Source organism: Homo sapiens, chromosome 4 (genome assembly GCF_000001405.40).
Source record: "Homo sapiens chromosome 4, GRCh38.p14 Primary Assembly".
Lineage (NCBI taxonomy): Eukaryota > Metazoa > Chordata > Mammalia > Primates > Hominidae > Homo > Homo sapiens.
This window is the reverse complement of record NC_000004.12, coordinates 122,229,336-122,245,524: the sequence shown is the minus strand read 5'-3', so window position 1 is coordinate 122,245,524 and position 16,189 is coordinate 122,229,336. Positions and strand designations below refer to the sequence as shown.

At 35.1% G+C, this 16,189-nt stretch overlaps 1 protein-coding gene across 44 annotated transcripts in view; it reads right to left on the bottom strand.

Moving 5' to 3' along the window:
* Positions 1 to 16,189, bottom strand: part of BLTP1 (bridge-like lipid transfer protein family member 1) — a 210,422-nt gene that overhangs the window by 117,228 nt on the left and 77,005 nt on the right. For all 44 annotated transcript variants that reach the window (XR_938783.2, XM_047416253.1, XM_047416259.1 and 41 more), the window contains 7 exons: positions 15,314 to 15,594; positions 10,502 to 10,752; positions 7,175 to 7,433; positions 5,172 to 6,009; positions 2,457 to 2,527; positions 1,498 to 1,671; positions 385 to 505 (listed from right to left, as the gene is read on the bottom strand). Coding sequence is in view for 43 of the 44 variants with exons in the window: in XM_047416253.1 (XP_047272209.1) it covers positions 385 to 505; positions 1,498 to 1,671; positions 2,457 to 2,527; positions 5,172 to 6,009; positions 7,175 to 7,433; positions 10,502 to 10,752; positions 15,314 to 15,594 (1,995 nt within the window). In the remaining variant the exon portion in view is untranslated. The remainder of the gene's footprint in view (positions 1 to 384; positions 506 to 1,497; positions 1,672 to 2,456; positions 2,528 to 5,171; positions 6,010 to 7,174; positions 7,434 to 10,501; positions 10,753 to 15,313; positions 15,595 to 16,189) is intronic.

The following is a 16,189-nucleotide window of genomic DNA, read 5'->3' as shown; positions in this document are numbered from 1 at the left end:
GTAATATTAAGATACAAGTCATCTAATCATAGAGGAAAATCAAAACATAAACAGCTGTCTTAGAAAAGCAAGGTGTCAGTCCTAAAGAATATTCATTCACTTAGGGCCAAAGCACTTTAGAAAAGGCTTGGAACTAAGCTGCTTCTGAAATAAAAGAAACAAAGAAAGCTATTAATATATTTTTTAAATAAATATTTTTACTACTATTCCATCTATAGTACAGTTATATGTCCTATCTTTTACAGAGCCAATGACATATAAACGCTTTTAGAACATGTCCAAATATTCTGATTTAACTTGTAAAGAAAATTTTTCAAGTTTGAATATTCTGTAACCATGATAAATATTCAATTTGCTATGCCCATTGAATTAAAAAGTTCTTACATTTTCTGAAAAGGTAGTCTTGCTATTTTGGACAGCTTCCCTGAGGACTTTAGCATGAAGATCATCTACAATTGCAGCTGGATGTCGGGTACTAGCACAATGAACCATTGCTTCAATATATCTGAGGGGAAAAAACAGTAAATGAAATATTTAAATGTCGTTGATTCTACAACTTAGTTTATGTAAACATATCATGAAACGTAGCACCATCTGAATATGTACAACAATTGCTCAACATTGAAATGAGAATGTCTAAGCCACATATTTAGAAATTATACAAGGGAAACATTTCTGAGGTTATCCCCACATCACCACCTTCACCCCAAGATGAAGTGTTCCACACTGGGCAATGATCTTTTCTTTAACAAACTTCTGAAGAAGATTTCCTGTGTTCTTCATTTATATGACATATCATAAGAATCTTAATAGTATAAGTTATCGAAGAAAATTATGTGCTTTTGCAGGAAAAGGAAGATTTTCATGAAAGCTCGTTTCCACCGAACCCCTTTTCTCTTCCCAACCGCTTCTACACCACTTCCATTATGTTCCATTCTCATTTTTATTCATGTTAGTTTTATATAATAATATGTAATATTATATTATTGTAATATTATTATATTATTGCAATATAATAATTAATTTGAATATACAGTCAGCTCTCCATATCTGTGGGTTCCAAATCCACACATTTAACCAAGCGCAGACTGAAAATACAGTATTCAGAATACAGTATTTGTGGGATGCAGAACCCACCAATACAGAAGGTTGACTTTTTTGATCCGCGGGTTCCACAGGACCAACTTGCAAGACTTGAGCATCTGTGGATTTTGGTATCCACAGGTGTTCTGGAACCAATAGCCAACAGATATGGAGGGACAACTCCAATTATTTAGGCTGAGAAAGTAGCAAATGATAACTGAAACACAGACCTCTTTAAGCATATTTTCATTTTTATTCAATCAAAATAGCTATCAATAATCTTCTATATGAACATATATCACATATACTTATAACTATCAACAATCTTCTACACGAACATATCACATATACTTATCATATCACAGAGTAATCATTGTATAAAGCAACAGTTGTATTTCTAGACAAAATCAATACCTGTCTAAAGCTTCAGCCACCAGGGGAGTCAAAACAATATCAACAGTTCCTTTTACTTCAACTATGGCTGTTGTCCTGGTCTGGGACACTGGTTGATCCAGGGTCCACTCTTCTGTTAATGTTTCATCATCTGTGTTATCAGCGAGTTTTTTTTCCAATGGAGTATACGGCGTACTATACAATTTAACAAGCAAATTGTATATTAAAAAGACCATGAATTAGAAGTTGGAGCTTCCTTAAGATGAGTGAACACATGCATTCATTACAACTAAAAATTTTATGGAATTGGACTTGACTTTTTTTTTTTCTTTGAGATAGAGTCTCACTCTGTCACCTAGGCTGGAGTGCAGTGGTGCGATCTCAGCTCACTGCAACCTCCTCCTCCCAAGTAGCTGGGATTACAGGCATGCGCCACTATGCCTAATTTTTTTGTATTTTTTGTACTAAAAAGTAGAGATGGGGTTTTGCCATGTTGGCCAGGCTGGTCTCGAATTCCTGACCTCAAGTGATCTGCCAGCCATGGCCTCCCAAAATGCTGGGATTACAGGTGTGAACCACCATGCCTGGCCTGGACTTGACATTTTATGTCCCAAAGACCTTCCAAAGACAGGCCAAAAAGAAGTACTAAAATGCTAATTGATCAAAGATGGCTAATACATTGAATGAGAAAATTTTAATATATTTACCTGATGTACCTTTGCCAAATTATGAAAAATATGATACTGAAGTCTTATTAGTCAGCAATTTTGATATGCCAAGTTACAGCATGTTTAATAGAAATGCTACTGACTACTTATAAATGTAGCCAAAGCCATGGCAGAGAAAAGAGCTGAATTATTTTGGTAATTTATTCTTAATATAAAGTTCATACTCAAATAAAGAATGATTATTATTCAGAATAAACTCTACCCATCTCATAATCAAGGAAGACACTTTAAAAGCATGATATTTTTACTTACTTTGAAGTTGATCCTGAAAGTTGCATGCCTCTGTCTAGCAAAGAATTAGCTGTGAGCCCCTGCTTGATAACCTAGAATATAAAATACTATAGTCTAGATTTTTAATATATTTCCCTAATTTTATGATATCAACTGATATATGTAAATACCTGAATTACCTAATATGATTTTGATATATTTGATATAAACATTTAACAGACAAATTAAGCAAATCAAATAATATATTCAATTGGCAGTTTCACTTTGTTGATTCAAATAAATGGCAAAGCAGGGTTGTGAGGGTAAAAGGCTATAACTGAAACTTAAAAGCAAGTGTTTCAAATGTCTTTCCTCCAGAGTTTCTTTTTAAATTGAGTTTTTTCTCAAGCTAATTTTAGACTTCTCCTAGCAAAACCAACCTTTAAGTGGGAAAGAGAGCCACAGAAACATTAAACTATAGGAAAAACTAGTCTTGTATTTTATATCCATAAATGATAACAAGGAAAATAAATAAATGAACCTGACTAATCAAATTGAACCTTTACAAATGCTTGTCAGTTATTTAGACTTAATGGCAAAAAATAACTTTCTTACCTCCCAGGTTACTTTTTTCCCCCCAACTACCCAAGCCTCTGGTAACCACCATTCTACTCTCTACATCTGTAAGAGCTTGCTTAGATTCTACGAGTGAAATCATGAGGTATTTGTCTTTTAGTGCCTTACTTATTTCACTTAACAGAGTGCCCTCCAGATTCATTCATATTGTCACAAATGACACGATTTCCTACTTTTTTTATGGCAGAAGAATATTTCACTGTGTGTATATACTACATTTTCTTTATCTGTCTATTCATTGATGGACATTTAGGTTGATCCCATATATTAGCTATTGTGAATACTCCTGTAATTAACATGGGAGTACAGACATCTCTTTAATAAACTGAATTAATTGCCTTTGGATATTACCCAGTAGTGGGATTGCTGGATCATATGGAATTCTATTTTTAATTTTTTGAGGAATCTCCATACTGTTTTTCATAATGGCTATACTAATTTACATTTCCACCAACAGCGCACAAGTGTTCCCTTTTCTCTACATCCTCACCAATACATGTCATTTTTTTGTCTTTCTGACAATGGCCTATGTTCTGTTTTTGAAGCTGTCTAAAAATACTAATTCCTTGACCTGTCTTCTCTAGAGATTTGACTGCCTAATCAAACTAGAAAGATTTATTTAAAATACTGAAATAATTCTATCCTCTCAGGTACTATTCTGCACAAGGGCCATTCAGTTTTACACTGGAAAATTCATATACCAACATATTTCCACATGTACTAAAAAGGACATTTTGAAATCTTAGCATGGGCAATTGGTTTTGGGCAAGATAAGAAAACAGTACAACCTTAAAAACAAAATTTTGCAACTTTCACTAATGTTTCTTCTTCCTTCAATACATATTATTCAAATGCCTACATAATCTATGAGAATATTCAACTCCATGTATCATGTCCCATCATTACTAATACAGTTTAAGTCCAAGCCCTGGTCGTTTCTTGCACAGACTACTGAGACAGTCTCCTAAGTGATCACCCCAATTCCTCTCTTGCTTAATGACAATTCAATTCTACGTAGTATTCAAAGTACATGAGATCCTATCATATTTCCTTAAAACTCTGAAGAGTTAATAAATTAAACTAAAATGAAATTCAAACTCCTGATGCCATGGTCTATAAGCTCTAAATGACCTAGCCTTTGCTTAGGTCTCCAGCCTCATTACGAGCAAGTCTCTCCACTCACTATTTCTCGGGCATGCTGACCTCTTTCCCTCTTCAGGGCTTTAGGAAGGCAGTTGCCTCTGCCTGAAATGCAGTGCCCCTAGGTCCTCCTATCTTCAATTCCTCATCATCCTTCAAATTTAAGTCTAAATATTATCTCCTCAGATGGACCTTTCATCTCAATACAATCTAGGTGTCCCCACCCCTTGTTATTCTCTATCCCAGCATCCCTTGGTTATCATCATAGACTCTTCTCACTTTGTAATGATATACTGATCTATTAATTGTCATTTTCCACCTCTAAACCATAAGCTCCATATCCATTTCCCTCACCACTCTACATCAAGTGCCTTGTTCACAATACTGTATAATAAATATCTGAATTAAGAATAACTAAATAAGCATTTAGACACTTCAAATAAGTATAGTATTTCATATTGGCTATGACCCCTAAATTTATTTTGAGGTATTTTTAGCTTACCTAAAACATTCTGTAATGCATTTTCAGAATACATTACGGAAATGCCCAATAACCATATTCATACTGAATTATAAGAACTCAAATGTCAAGTAAGTGGACATTGAAGCCTTTGCATGGAAGGAGTTATGAATTAATAAAAAGAACATCATTAAAAACAACTTCAAAATTTTATTTTTAAGACACGGAAGATATGAATTCAGAGAGAGTTGATCCTAATCTTAGAGTATAATGCAGACACAGAATATGTGTTGATTAGATTAATGCAGTGGCAACTCATAAACCATTTCTCAATTTAATTTACTTAAATTTCTAATATTCATCAATAACTCTGTGACCTATCATACATAAAGCTATGGCTTCAGAAAGTCTCTCTCTCAGAAAGGTAGCTAAAAAGAATGAGAGTAATTATGAAAATAACTTCTTAAAAATCTGTTTTTCTAAATCAAGATATCAATGGAAACTAATGATTTGGTTTATACCTTAAAAGTTGGAACAGAAAGCTGTTCAAATGACGATGAACTTTCTTCACTGGTTGGTGTATCCAGATCAAGGGGACGATGCAATGAGGATTTAGAGGTTCTTTTGTTGGTTGGGTGCTTAACTGACCAATTAATTACCTGGAACTGAGTAAGGTAAGTCTGATAACAATTCATCACGGGTTGTTGCGGAGTAATCTGTTCACTCTCCACTGTTTTCTCACCTTCTACAATATATAGATGTTCTATAACATCATCTTCTCCACCTAACGCAGAAACAAATGAAGCCTGAGAAGGATGAGTTTTGAATGGCAGAGTTCTGGAATCCTGAATGCTTTCTCCATGTCCAGTAAGTGGCCCTTCTACACTGTGATATATGGAACCCCTACTGTAGTCAATCTGCTGGGTTTGCTTTTTCTTCTTTTTTCTACCCGGATAAGTTCCAGGGCCTTCATCACTGCTAATGGGCTCAAATTCCTCAGCAGCAGAAAAGTAGGCTTCACTATCAGCCATTGACATGCTGGAATCCATTGATCGATACTGATGAAATGAATTAGAGTCTGCTGATGGTGTATATGGGAATGAACCAAAACTTCTCCTCTGCTTTGGTGAGTCTAGTACATTCTCATCACTTCGAGAGACATCACTACTAAACTGGACTCCAACTGTTACAGGCTGCTTGTCCCCATAGAAAGCAGCAGTAAGACTCTTAGTACTTCCAAGACGGGTGGAACAGACAGAGGCTTGTCGTTTCAAGGGAGATCTAAGAGGAGATTGACCTACTGACTTATCCTGAGTATTAGGAGACACAGGGCTGTTTCCTGAAATTTCTGTAGGGATACTAAAACAGAAAGCAAAGCTATTACCATTTTCTATACATCATAAAATTTAAGCATAAAAACAAATATCAATAAAAATCCTTTTAGTAATTTTAATCATGTACTTTACAAGTAAAAGAAAATCTACAATTTTATAATAAAATACCCAAAGTAGCAAAACAGTACAATATGTGTTCACATCCCCCATTAGTTCCAAAAAATTTTGAGGTAGCTTAAAACACAATAAAAACTTAAAGAAACCCCAGAATGTAATCTTCTATCCATAATCCATGGACACTAATGCACTTATAAAGGTTTTTTTTCTTTCACATCCTTTAAAAACTTGTCCAACAAAATACACCAGGTGCCTCTGATTAAAGGAGACTGGAGGAAGAAGTTATACATAACCCCAGTATTTCTGACTTCAGCAACTGATGTAGTAGTGCCATTTACTAAGGCAGAACAAGTTAAAACTGGTAAGAATAAGGCCATTTTTAATATGTTGAGTTTGAAGTCTCCATGAAACATCCAAGCAGATACATCAAGAAGGTAGCTAGGCCTTAGGAACAAAGGTTTTGGCTGGAGTTTTACATTTAAAAGATGTTAGCTAGAGAACATAATTGAAACCAAACAGTTATTGAGACTCCCTAGGGAAATAATATAGAGTAAGTGGAGAAAAAGGAGAGAATGTTCAACAAAGGGCAGGCTATAAAAGGAAGAGAAAAAAGAAAGGAGGAAGAAATGGAGGACAGGACAATGGAGACTGAGAAGGAATAGCCAAGGAGGTGGGACGAAATTTTGAAATGTGCTATCAAACCAAGAGGAAACTGTGATTCAAGAAGGGAGTGGCCAACTATTAAGGTGGCAAGAGGAGGAACAAAAAGTATCCATTAGACTAGAAGGATAATATCTGAATGTTAACAGTGATTCACTCTGAGTGGTGGGATGACAAGAAACTTCCACTTTCATTACACTTTCCTGTACTTTCCTCATATCTTGAATGAATATATGTATGTATGACTTTTATAATCAGACAACAGCAAACTGACATTTCAAAATATGTTCAGATATACAGGTAACAATTTTCTAAAGTGGGGGAGTGGAGAGGGAAGAAGTTTTTCTTGCCAGAATTTTAAACAATTATAATCCTATTTATGATCAGGCTTCTAAATCTAAGTGAATACTGACCTTGCTTGGCCATCATCTCTTTTTGTCCCATGCAAGAACTCTTTTTGAACCAAATGGTCATCAGCAACAGATGAAGGACTTTCCTTTTCACCAGCCAACAAAGGCTGTGCAGCACTAGAACTACTGTTCTCTTCTGAGGAAGAGGATGAACTATGAGATCGTAATGGTACTTGAAGACTAAGGTGCTGAGTTTTTCTCTCTACTTCTATTCCCACTGATTTGTTTTCCCATTCTTTCCTCTTCATGCCATTCACATTACCTAAACAAACAAAAGGTGGGTTAAGTGAACACACAAATCTCAACAGCAGTTTATAAAAAACATGGCAATCTAATCCATTTTTAAGTATAATTTTTTTTTTTTTTTTTTTTGAGATGGAGTCTCGCTCTGTCACCAGGCTGGAATACAGTGGCACGATCTTGGCTCACTGCAACCTCTGCCTCCCGGGTTCAAGAGATTCTCCTGCCTCAGCCTGCCAAGTAGCTGGGACTACAGGCACGCACCACCACACCCAGCTAATTTTTGTATTTTCAGTAGAGAAAGGGTTTCCCCATGTTGGCCAGGACGGTCTTGATCTCTTGACTTCGTGATCCGCCCTCCTCAGCCTCCCAAAGTGCTGGGATTACAGGCGTGTAAAAAGCACAAGTGACTAATTCCATATAGCAATTTGTTAAACGTTTTAGAAATATATCTACATAAGTATAGATCCCAGGCCCATAAACAGTGAATTTTTTTCTTCTTTTTAAATCTTTTATTGGAAAATTTTCAAACTTACAGAAAACTTTCAAGAATAGTACAAAGAACCCCATATATCTTCTATTCGGATTTACTTATTTTAAGCATTTTCCCCTTTTGCTCTAAAAGTTCAATGTTGACAGGGACTGTATCATTTTTCATTCACTGATGTACCTCCAGTGCCTAGAATAATGCCTCATACACAGAAGGCACTCAATACATGATTTTATGAATGAACAAATAACGACTTTAGGATCAGAGTGAAGCACCACTGTTTCACAGTTTCATAAAGAGCTCTGTGATGTGTTATATAAACTGAGGGGCTGGGGGAAATAAAAAGAGAATTCTATAGCTGCCTAGATCCAAAAAAAATAACTCTTGCTCAACTTCCCCCTCCTCCTACCATCCCTGTTTTAGCCAAAAAAAGTAAATCCGCTAATGGAAAAAAACATCTCTGTGAACAGAATGCAGTTCTAGTGGCATTCAAGGGGTAAGAGTCATAAACCTAAAATATAATATTAGTTACTTCTACTACCACAAATGTAAAATAGAGCAATGAAAGTCAAAAGAAAAAATGGTCTTGATTTGCTTCTAAGTGATACAGGAACATAGTGCTCACTGACCTTCCAAATAGATCCTTAATTCTACCCATATGCCCTCCTTGATTTTATCCTGACACTGCATCTGTACTCCATTCCTGGAAGACTCAACAATCAGAAACTCAGGTACGTATGTAGGGGTTATTTCCAAGCTTCCCTGGACAAGAAACTTATGGCAATTCGGCAATTACAACTCACTACTAAGAGAATCACCAAGAGATACAGACACTTCCTATTACACATTATAAGAATTTTACTTTCTTCAATGTTAGAAAGAGAATTTACTATTTTCCTCATTTCACATCAGTATAAATTCCCTGCAAATATTCTTTCTTGAGTTTGTGATGGTTAATCTTTGAAAATCAAGCAATCTTTATAATTAGCACCAGTTGTAGAACATTAGAGAGAACAACAAAGTGGCTTCAATGGCCCTGATTCTATTTTCTTCTCAGCCATACTTGGCTATATCACTTCATGCAACTCAGTCTCACTGACAGGCCTCAGTGTCCTTACTAAAAAACAAGGATAATATCCACTTTACATGGTAGCTTAGGGATTAAATGAGAAAATGCCAGTGTAAATCTTTAAAAATGAACATTATTCAAATGTAAAAAAGTTATATAAGAAGACAGCTAAATTATTACAATCTATCTTATCACTTAAATGCCAAGAAGTTTTGGTGTTTGCTGATTTTATAAGATAATCTGCTCTCATTCTAGCAAACCTGCCAAAGTACAATGACCTTAAAATAACTTGTGCACACTTACTACTACTCAGTAAAAAAATCATTTAGGAATTTAGTATATGTAGTCCAGCTGTTTCCTCTAAGAGCTCCTATACATGGGAAAGCAATCTGATCAACTCTTGAAGGTAAAATTACCCCTTTCCTATCTTTTTGTGTGTACTGATAAAAGGCAGAGGTAAATTAATATTTTTAAATTAATTAAGGGGAAATGGCTAAATATTCGTGAAGTATCAAGACTTTTCTACAATTAACATCTTCACAGCATGGCAACTTAAACAGTAAATATTGCACTGAATCATAGGAACACAGAACTAAAAAAATCCAGAGGAAAAATCTGTTTCTGAAGTCTCTGGAGAAAAGACTCTAGGTAAATCTAAATATAATACACTTAAAGCCACTCTTCACTGCTCATAGCAAACTGGTGTATTTGCAGAGTTACGCTAAAGATTCTTTTTTTTTTTTCTTTTTTGAGACGGAGTCTCGCTCTGTCGCCCAGGCTGGAGTGCAGTGGCGCCATCTCCTCTCCCTGCAAGCTCCGCGTCCCGCGTTCACACCATTCTCCTGCCTCAGCCTCCCGAGTAGCTGGGACTACAGGCGCCCGCCACCACGCCCGGCTAATTTTTTGTATTTTTAGCAGAGATGGGGTTTCACCACGTTAGCCAGGATGGTCTTGATCTCCTGACCTCGTGATCCGCCCACCTTGGCCTCCCAAAGTGCTGGGATTACAGGTGTGAGCCACCACGCCCGGCCAGAGTTATGCTAAAGATTCTAAGACTGGAGTTCTTTTCTTGACATGTTTAATTTTACTATAAGGAAACTATTCTGCAAATATAATTGGTAACATGGGGGCCAACAGTATAAATATTACTATCCAAAAGTTATCCTATAAAAGCAAGCTGGTGAAACAATTGTTACCTTGAAGCACAGCTATTCCTAAGTATTTATCTGGATGCTGTGCTACAGGAAAATAACAGTATGTAAGGAAATATTTAGAAAAAATTCTGTGAGGAAAGCCACCCACGTCAACAGAAGATCTGAATAGCAGACCTACTTCTAACTCTGAAAAAATCACTAGTTTTATCTGGCTTTAGTTAAGTCATGTGCAAAACAAAGGTGGATTATACTAAACCCTACTCATAACATCACACAAAGTAAATTGAGTTGAACAGAGTTAACACTGAATTTCTCTCAAAATGGCATAGTGATGAAGAAAGTAAACAATTAGCACAAGTGACGAAACATTTTATTACCATCTATAATTTTGGGAATTTCTTTAGTAATTATCCATTCTCCAGGCTGTAGCAGAGACTGTCCATAATACATATCAGACTCTGCACTTGTGCTTGAAAATGCAGAGCTACTGGAAGGTGTCAACTCTTCAAGTTTGAAGAAATCTAGGCCAGTTACTGTGCCACCAAAGAATCTGCAGCCACCGAGACAACCACATTTGTTTCTACACCTCTTATTCTTCAGGATATCATCTGGCCATAAAAACCACAACCTAAACCGACCCCAAAAGAAAACAAAAAACAACAACATAAAAAAAATCATTAAGAAATGAAAAACTTTTTGATAGATAATTAAATATAAGTTAATTGTAAATATTTTTAAATGACAAAGTAAACACAAACACAAAGGTTTATTCCCACTGTGTTTTTTTAAATCATTTGCCTTTCTAAAAAATATAGTCTTACCAGAGCAAGTGAGACGGAAATAAGCAGAATCAATAATAATAGAGATACGGCATACATTAAAAAGCCCAAAGCATTAAAAAAAAAGCAAATATAAAAATCAGACATTTAAGTCCAGTTTTACAATGTAGTAAACATTCTCAAAAACACTAAAATTTTAAGACACTAATCCAAAAAAACCATTAGTATAGATTATGCTTGATAGCTCATTACCTTTAGCATCTCAGGGCCTATTTCACATTGCAAATTTAAAACACTGAAAAATTACAAATATGAAGCAACTAAGAAATTATTTCTCAATAAAATTAAAATAATGAACCACTCCATATTTTAGAGAAAAATAATATCGAGGTCTACTCCTTTGTAATAAGGACTACAAATAAAGTATTAAAAATGTATGTAAACTTCAGGTTCTGTATAAGTGACTCATAGATCTGTCAGTATTTATTAACTCCCCTCTTTTCTTAAACAATATTATATAATAGAAATCTGTGAGATATACCTTTATTCCTTTTTTTTTACTTTAATAAAATCCCCTCATATTTACAGTCTATTTTTCTAAGCATTTTTACATGTATTATCACCTTGGATTCTCAAGACCCTCACAGGGAAACAGAATAGGTATTATCACCTTCATTTTACATTCATTAATTTATATTTCTTGAACATATCTATTAAGTGCCTAGTGTCATGCTAAGCAAACTGATATAGTCCTTATCCATATGAAGTTTACAATACAGAGGCAAAGACAAACAATAAACAAGAAAATAATAACTAATCATAAATTGTATTAAGTGTTATGAGGTAAACAAGGTGTTGTGACAAAGAAAATAGGGAGAATCTTTCAAAAAGTAACATAGAGACATTAAAGATAAGGTGAAACAACTTAGAAGTGGAACATCTATCTAGAGAAGACAGAAGGAAAAATGTATGAGCAGGCCTTAAGATGAGGGAGAGCTTGAGATTGCACTGGTCGGATGTTATCCATTTCAAATCACTTCTGTATTTTAAAGTATTAAGTCAAGCAGCAAAGATATCTTAAAACACCATCAAAATAAAAGAACTTATATACATAATAGACTTTTTTTACTTCATTTCCACAGCAAAAGCTTGGTAGAATGCATGGCTTTGAGTCCTCTAGACCTGAGTTCAAATTCTAGCTATGCCACTTACTAACTCTACAACTTCAGACAAGTTAACATCTCTGAGCCTCAGTTTCCTCATCTGCAAAATGATGGTATGATATATCTAATTAAAGATCATTGTGGGCATAAAATAGCATAACACGTGTAAAGCACCTGAGATGCAAAATGTGGACTACACAAGTTACACAACAAACGTTAGCTCTCCTTTCCTATCTTTGCATAATCCAATGCACTAGTTCTCAAACGTTAGCTTGTATTAGAATCAACTGAATGGCTCGTTGAACTGTAGGTGGCTGGGCTTCACCTCCAGAGTTTCTGATTGAGGTCTGGCAAGGCCTGATTATGTATATTTGTAATAAGTTCCAAGGAGATGTTGATGCTGGTAGTTTGGGAGCCATATTTTTAAAAAACATTAATCTAATGGAACTAATGGCCTATGTATTCAGTAGCTCTTCCAGTAATATCAGAAATGAATATACATTTCTCTAAAACTCCTGGGAATCCAATATGCACAAAGGCAGCCAAACCTGAAGGTCAGTGAGTTACCATGTGGGGAGAGGCAAATCGTCACGAGTCCTAGGAATCCCTGTATGTTCCTGCTGGGTATGACATGAATGCAAGCTCTGTCCAGGCTATTTCACAGGGTTGTGTTGGGAGCAAGCAACCTTGAGGGTTGAGGTAATCTTTCTCTCTGGAAAAGAGTAGGCTTGCTTCCACTTACTATAAAAATAGTAAGATACCCTAAGTTCAGTGTTCCTCTTCTATAACGTAATCTACTTTATGCACATATTCATCATGATGGGGCTTTATGTTTTTTATCTTATTTTTTTTGAGACAGAGTCTCACTCTGTTGCCCAGGCTGGAGTGCAGTGGCGCAATCTTGGCTCACTGCAACCTCCGCCTCCCAGGTTCCAGCGATTCTCCCGCCTCAGCCTCCCAAGTAGCTGGGACTACGTTATCCCCTATAGGACTCAGGGACAGAGTTGCTAGATTTAGCGAATAAAATACAAACAAAAATAAGTTTGTTCTATGCAATATGTGGGACAAACTTATACTAAAATGTGTTTTGTTGTTTATCTGAAAGTTAAATTTAACTGGGCATCCTGTATTTTCCCTGGCAACTCTACTTGGGGGATACAGGGAACCAACCCGCCCACACATGACTGGCTACCGCTTTGGCTGTAATATAGTCTCTGATCAGAAGTTTTGTGTATTTTTCCAGCATCCATGAAATTGTAACAGCTAACTTGTTAACTCGTAAGAAAGATAAAAACCCCAGACTCTTCACAATTTTTCACAAGCTACAGCACTGAAACCAACCTAAATGAGCTACTTGGAGCAACTCGAGTCACCTGAAGTAACCTCCTTAGTTCCATTCGCACCTTGCTCTACCACCTAACCTAATCAAAGACAGGCATTTGGTTCACACTAAGTGGCTTCCTGCACAACATATAACAAAGAAATCCAATTTATTTTACACAATATTCTTCATACATGAGCTTTCATACTCGGATATATGTCAAATCTTCCTCAATTAATTTAAAAGATTAATGTAATTTCAATAAAAATCTCAACAGATTTTCTTTTTTTAACCAGAAAAATGGACCCCAGGTTCTTTTGGGAAAGTTAACAGGTAACAATAAACATTTTGTTAAACAGAGAAATGAATATGTCGATTTATCTCCTTACCTAGAATAATATACACATGCACCCCATATAAAATCCAGAGGGATTCGAGTTTTATATGTTAACAAGAAAAAGGAAAAGAAAAAAATAATACAGATGCTATTTGATTACTAGCAAAAGAATGGCTTTCTCAAATTAGTAACTGACATACTTGAATGCATAAAATTAAAGTCATATATGAAAATAAAAACAAAATTAAAAGATAAAACAAACTGTAAAATACTAGCAACAGAGATCACAAAAAGGTGATCATCTATAAAGAGCTCTTAAAAATTGAAAACCACCAAGACCCCAGTAAATAAATGTACACAGAATATAAACATTCAATTCACAAGTGAAGAAATCGAAACAGCTAACAAATGTGGTTTTTAAAGTGTTAATTTCAGAAATATATAAATGCAAAATAAAGAGATGCCACCTTTCACTTATCAGAAAACACTCAAAAGGTAGCAATGGTGCAGGGTGACAGGGACTAGCTAAAAAGCCATTGTGGATATAAACTGAAATTAATTTCTGGCAAGTAATTTGGGAATGCATATGAAAAGTCTTAATTTTCAACTCATTCATACTCCCTTCCAGGAAATTATCTAAAGGAAACAGCCAGAAAGCATGGGAAAATATTTTATGTGCAAAAATGTTCCTCTATCATTTATAATGGGAAATTTAGAAACAATCTAAATATTTAATATAAGGGCAATGGCTAAATAAAACATGTTTTGTCTTTTTGGTAATGTATTATCATTTGTTTAAAAGGATCTTTATAAAATGTTTAATCATGTGGCCAGATGCTTGGGATATAAGTTTAATACAAACATGCAGAATTTTAAACTGTATATACAGGATGATTTCAAGCATTAAAAAAATACAGCAAAATCCTGGAGATAAAATTTCATATGGTGGGGTTATGATCATTATTTTCTTTTGTTTCTTAATAGTTTCCTATATTTCTAGAATTAGCACATATTAAATATACAATGGGGAAGATGGGGATGGAAAAAGTCACACTGTCATTTTAAATGGAAGTGATTCAGTAAGAGGTGCTGGCAACTTTTTAAATCATATATAATAATAATTTCCTAAGGACCAAGGAAATAGGCCTGAGTACTCTTAGTCTTCCTTGCAGTTCTGAAGGCCCATAAAAGGAGTTTTATACAGTAGACGATAGTAGTACTGTGATTTCTAGGAATGAATGATGACTTGAAAGTGGAGAGCTGTGGTGAGAGAGAAAATGTAGTACTTTACAAAACGTTATTTGGGGACCATAACTTAAACTTGTTTCACTGTTGGCATACATGGTATAGACTTAGAAACACATCAGAAAATAATGTTATTTCCAACAACTACACCATCACCAGAGACAAGATATATATTTACTTAAATATCAGGTCCTTATATATTCATTGAGGTGCAGCAGCACAATCATGTTAGGTCTTTATTTAAAATATTCTTAGTCCATTCTCTCAGTAGAATTTCCTCTACAATTATCTAGTTTTTTTCATCTGAACAGGAGACTACTGCCATTCTTAACATTTTCACCTACCTCTTAGTTCTGGCATCATGAGTTTCTAAGAAATGTCTTTGTGCCTCATGTTTAGAATGATGGTCAGCAGCTAAAGCAATATCAACAGTAATAAGTCCTAAATTGGCTGACCCAGCTTCAAGCCAATAGGCCCTCCGTAGCACTGCAGGCTGAAGTCCAATTCTGCAATTATTTAATTGCTCAATGTACTGTCTCACTTGAAAATCCTGAATTGCAGCACTGATTCCTTCCCCAACCGATTGATTGTGGAGATTACAGTTTGCAACTCGAATTGCACCCATCTAAAATTGAATGAAGAAAATGAAACAAAAGTGTAATTTCTGTATTTTTAAGTAGCTTAGCCAAAACTACTGAATAGGTGATCATTTCAAATAGAGTAAAACATAAATGGAAGGAGAAAATAAAGGAAAAAGAAATAAAAAAGGAAAAAATGGGAAAGGGACAAGAAGGGAACAGAAAAGTTAAACAAAATAAAAACAAAAATAGACAATTTTTTAAAAAGGAGAAAAGGAAAAAAGCAGAAATCCACAGGCGAACAAGAGAAGTAAATAATGAAATAGTAGAAACTTAACAAGGCTTGATTTTGCACTACAATCCATAAAAGAGTGGGAAACAAATGTTTTCAAGAGCCAGGCAGAAAATATAAATGTATGAATCCTAAAGACATTCAAAAATCAAATCATTTAAAAGCACTGCCAGTTTATATCCCTGACATAAAAGTAACCTACTATTTTATATCCTTCCCATAAAGCAATGTTACAATAACTCAGAGTAAATAACTGGTGAAAGTATGCCTTGAAAAAAATAATACTGGAAGAGAACATGGATTAGTAAAAATTAGAAAGTTTTCTCCTAAAATTTTGTGGCTGTCTGTGA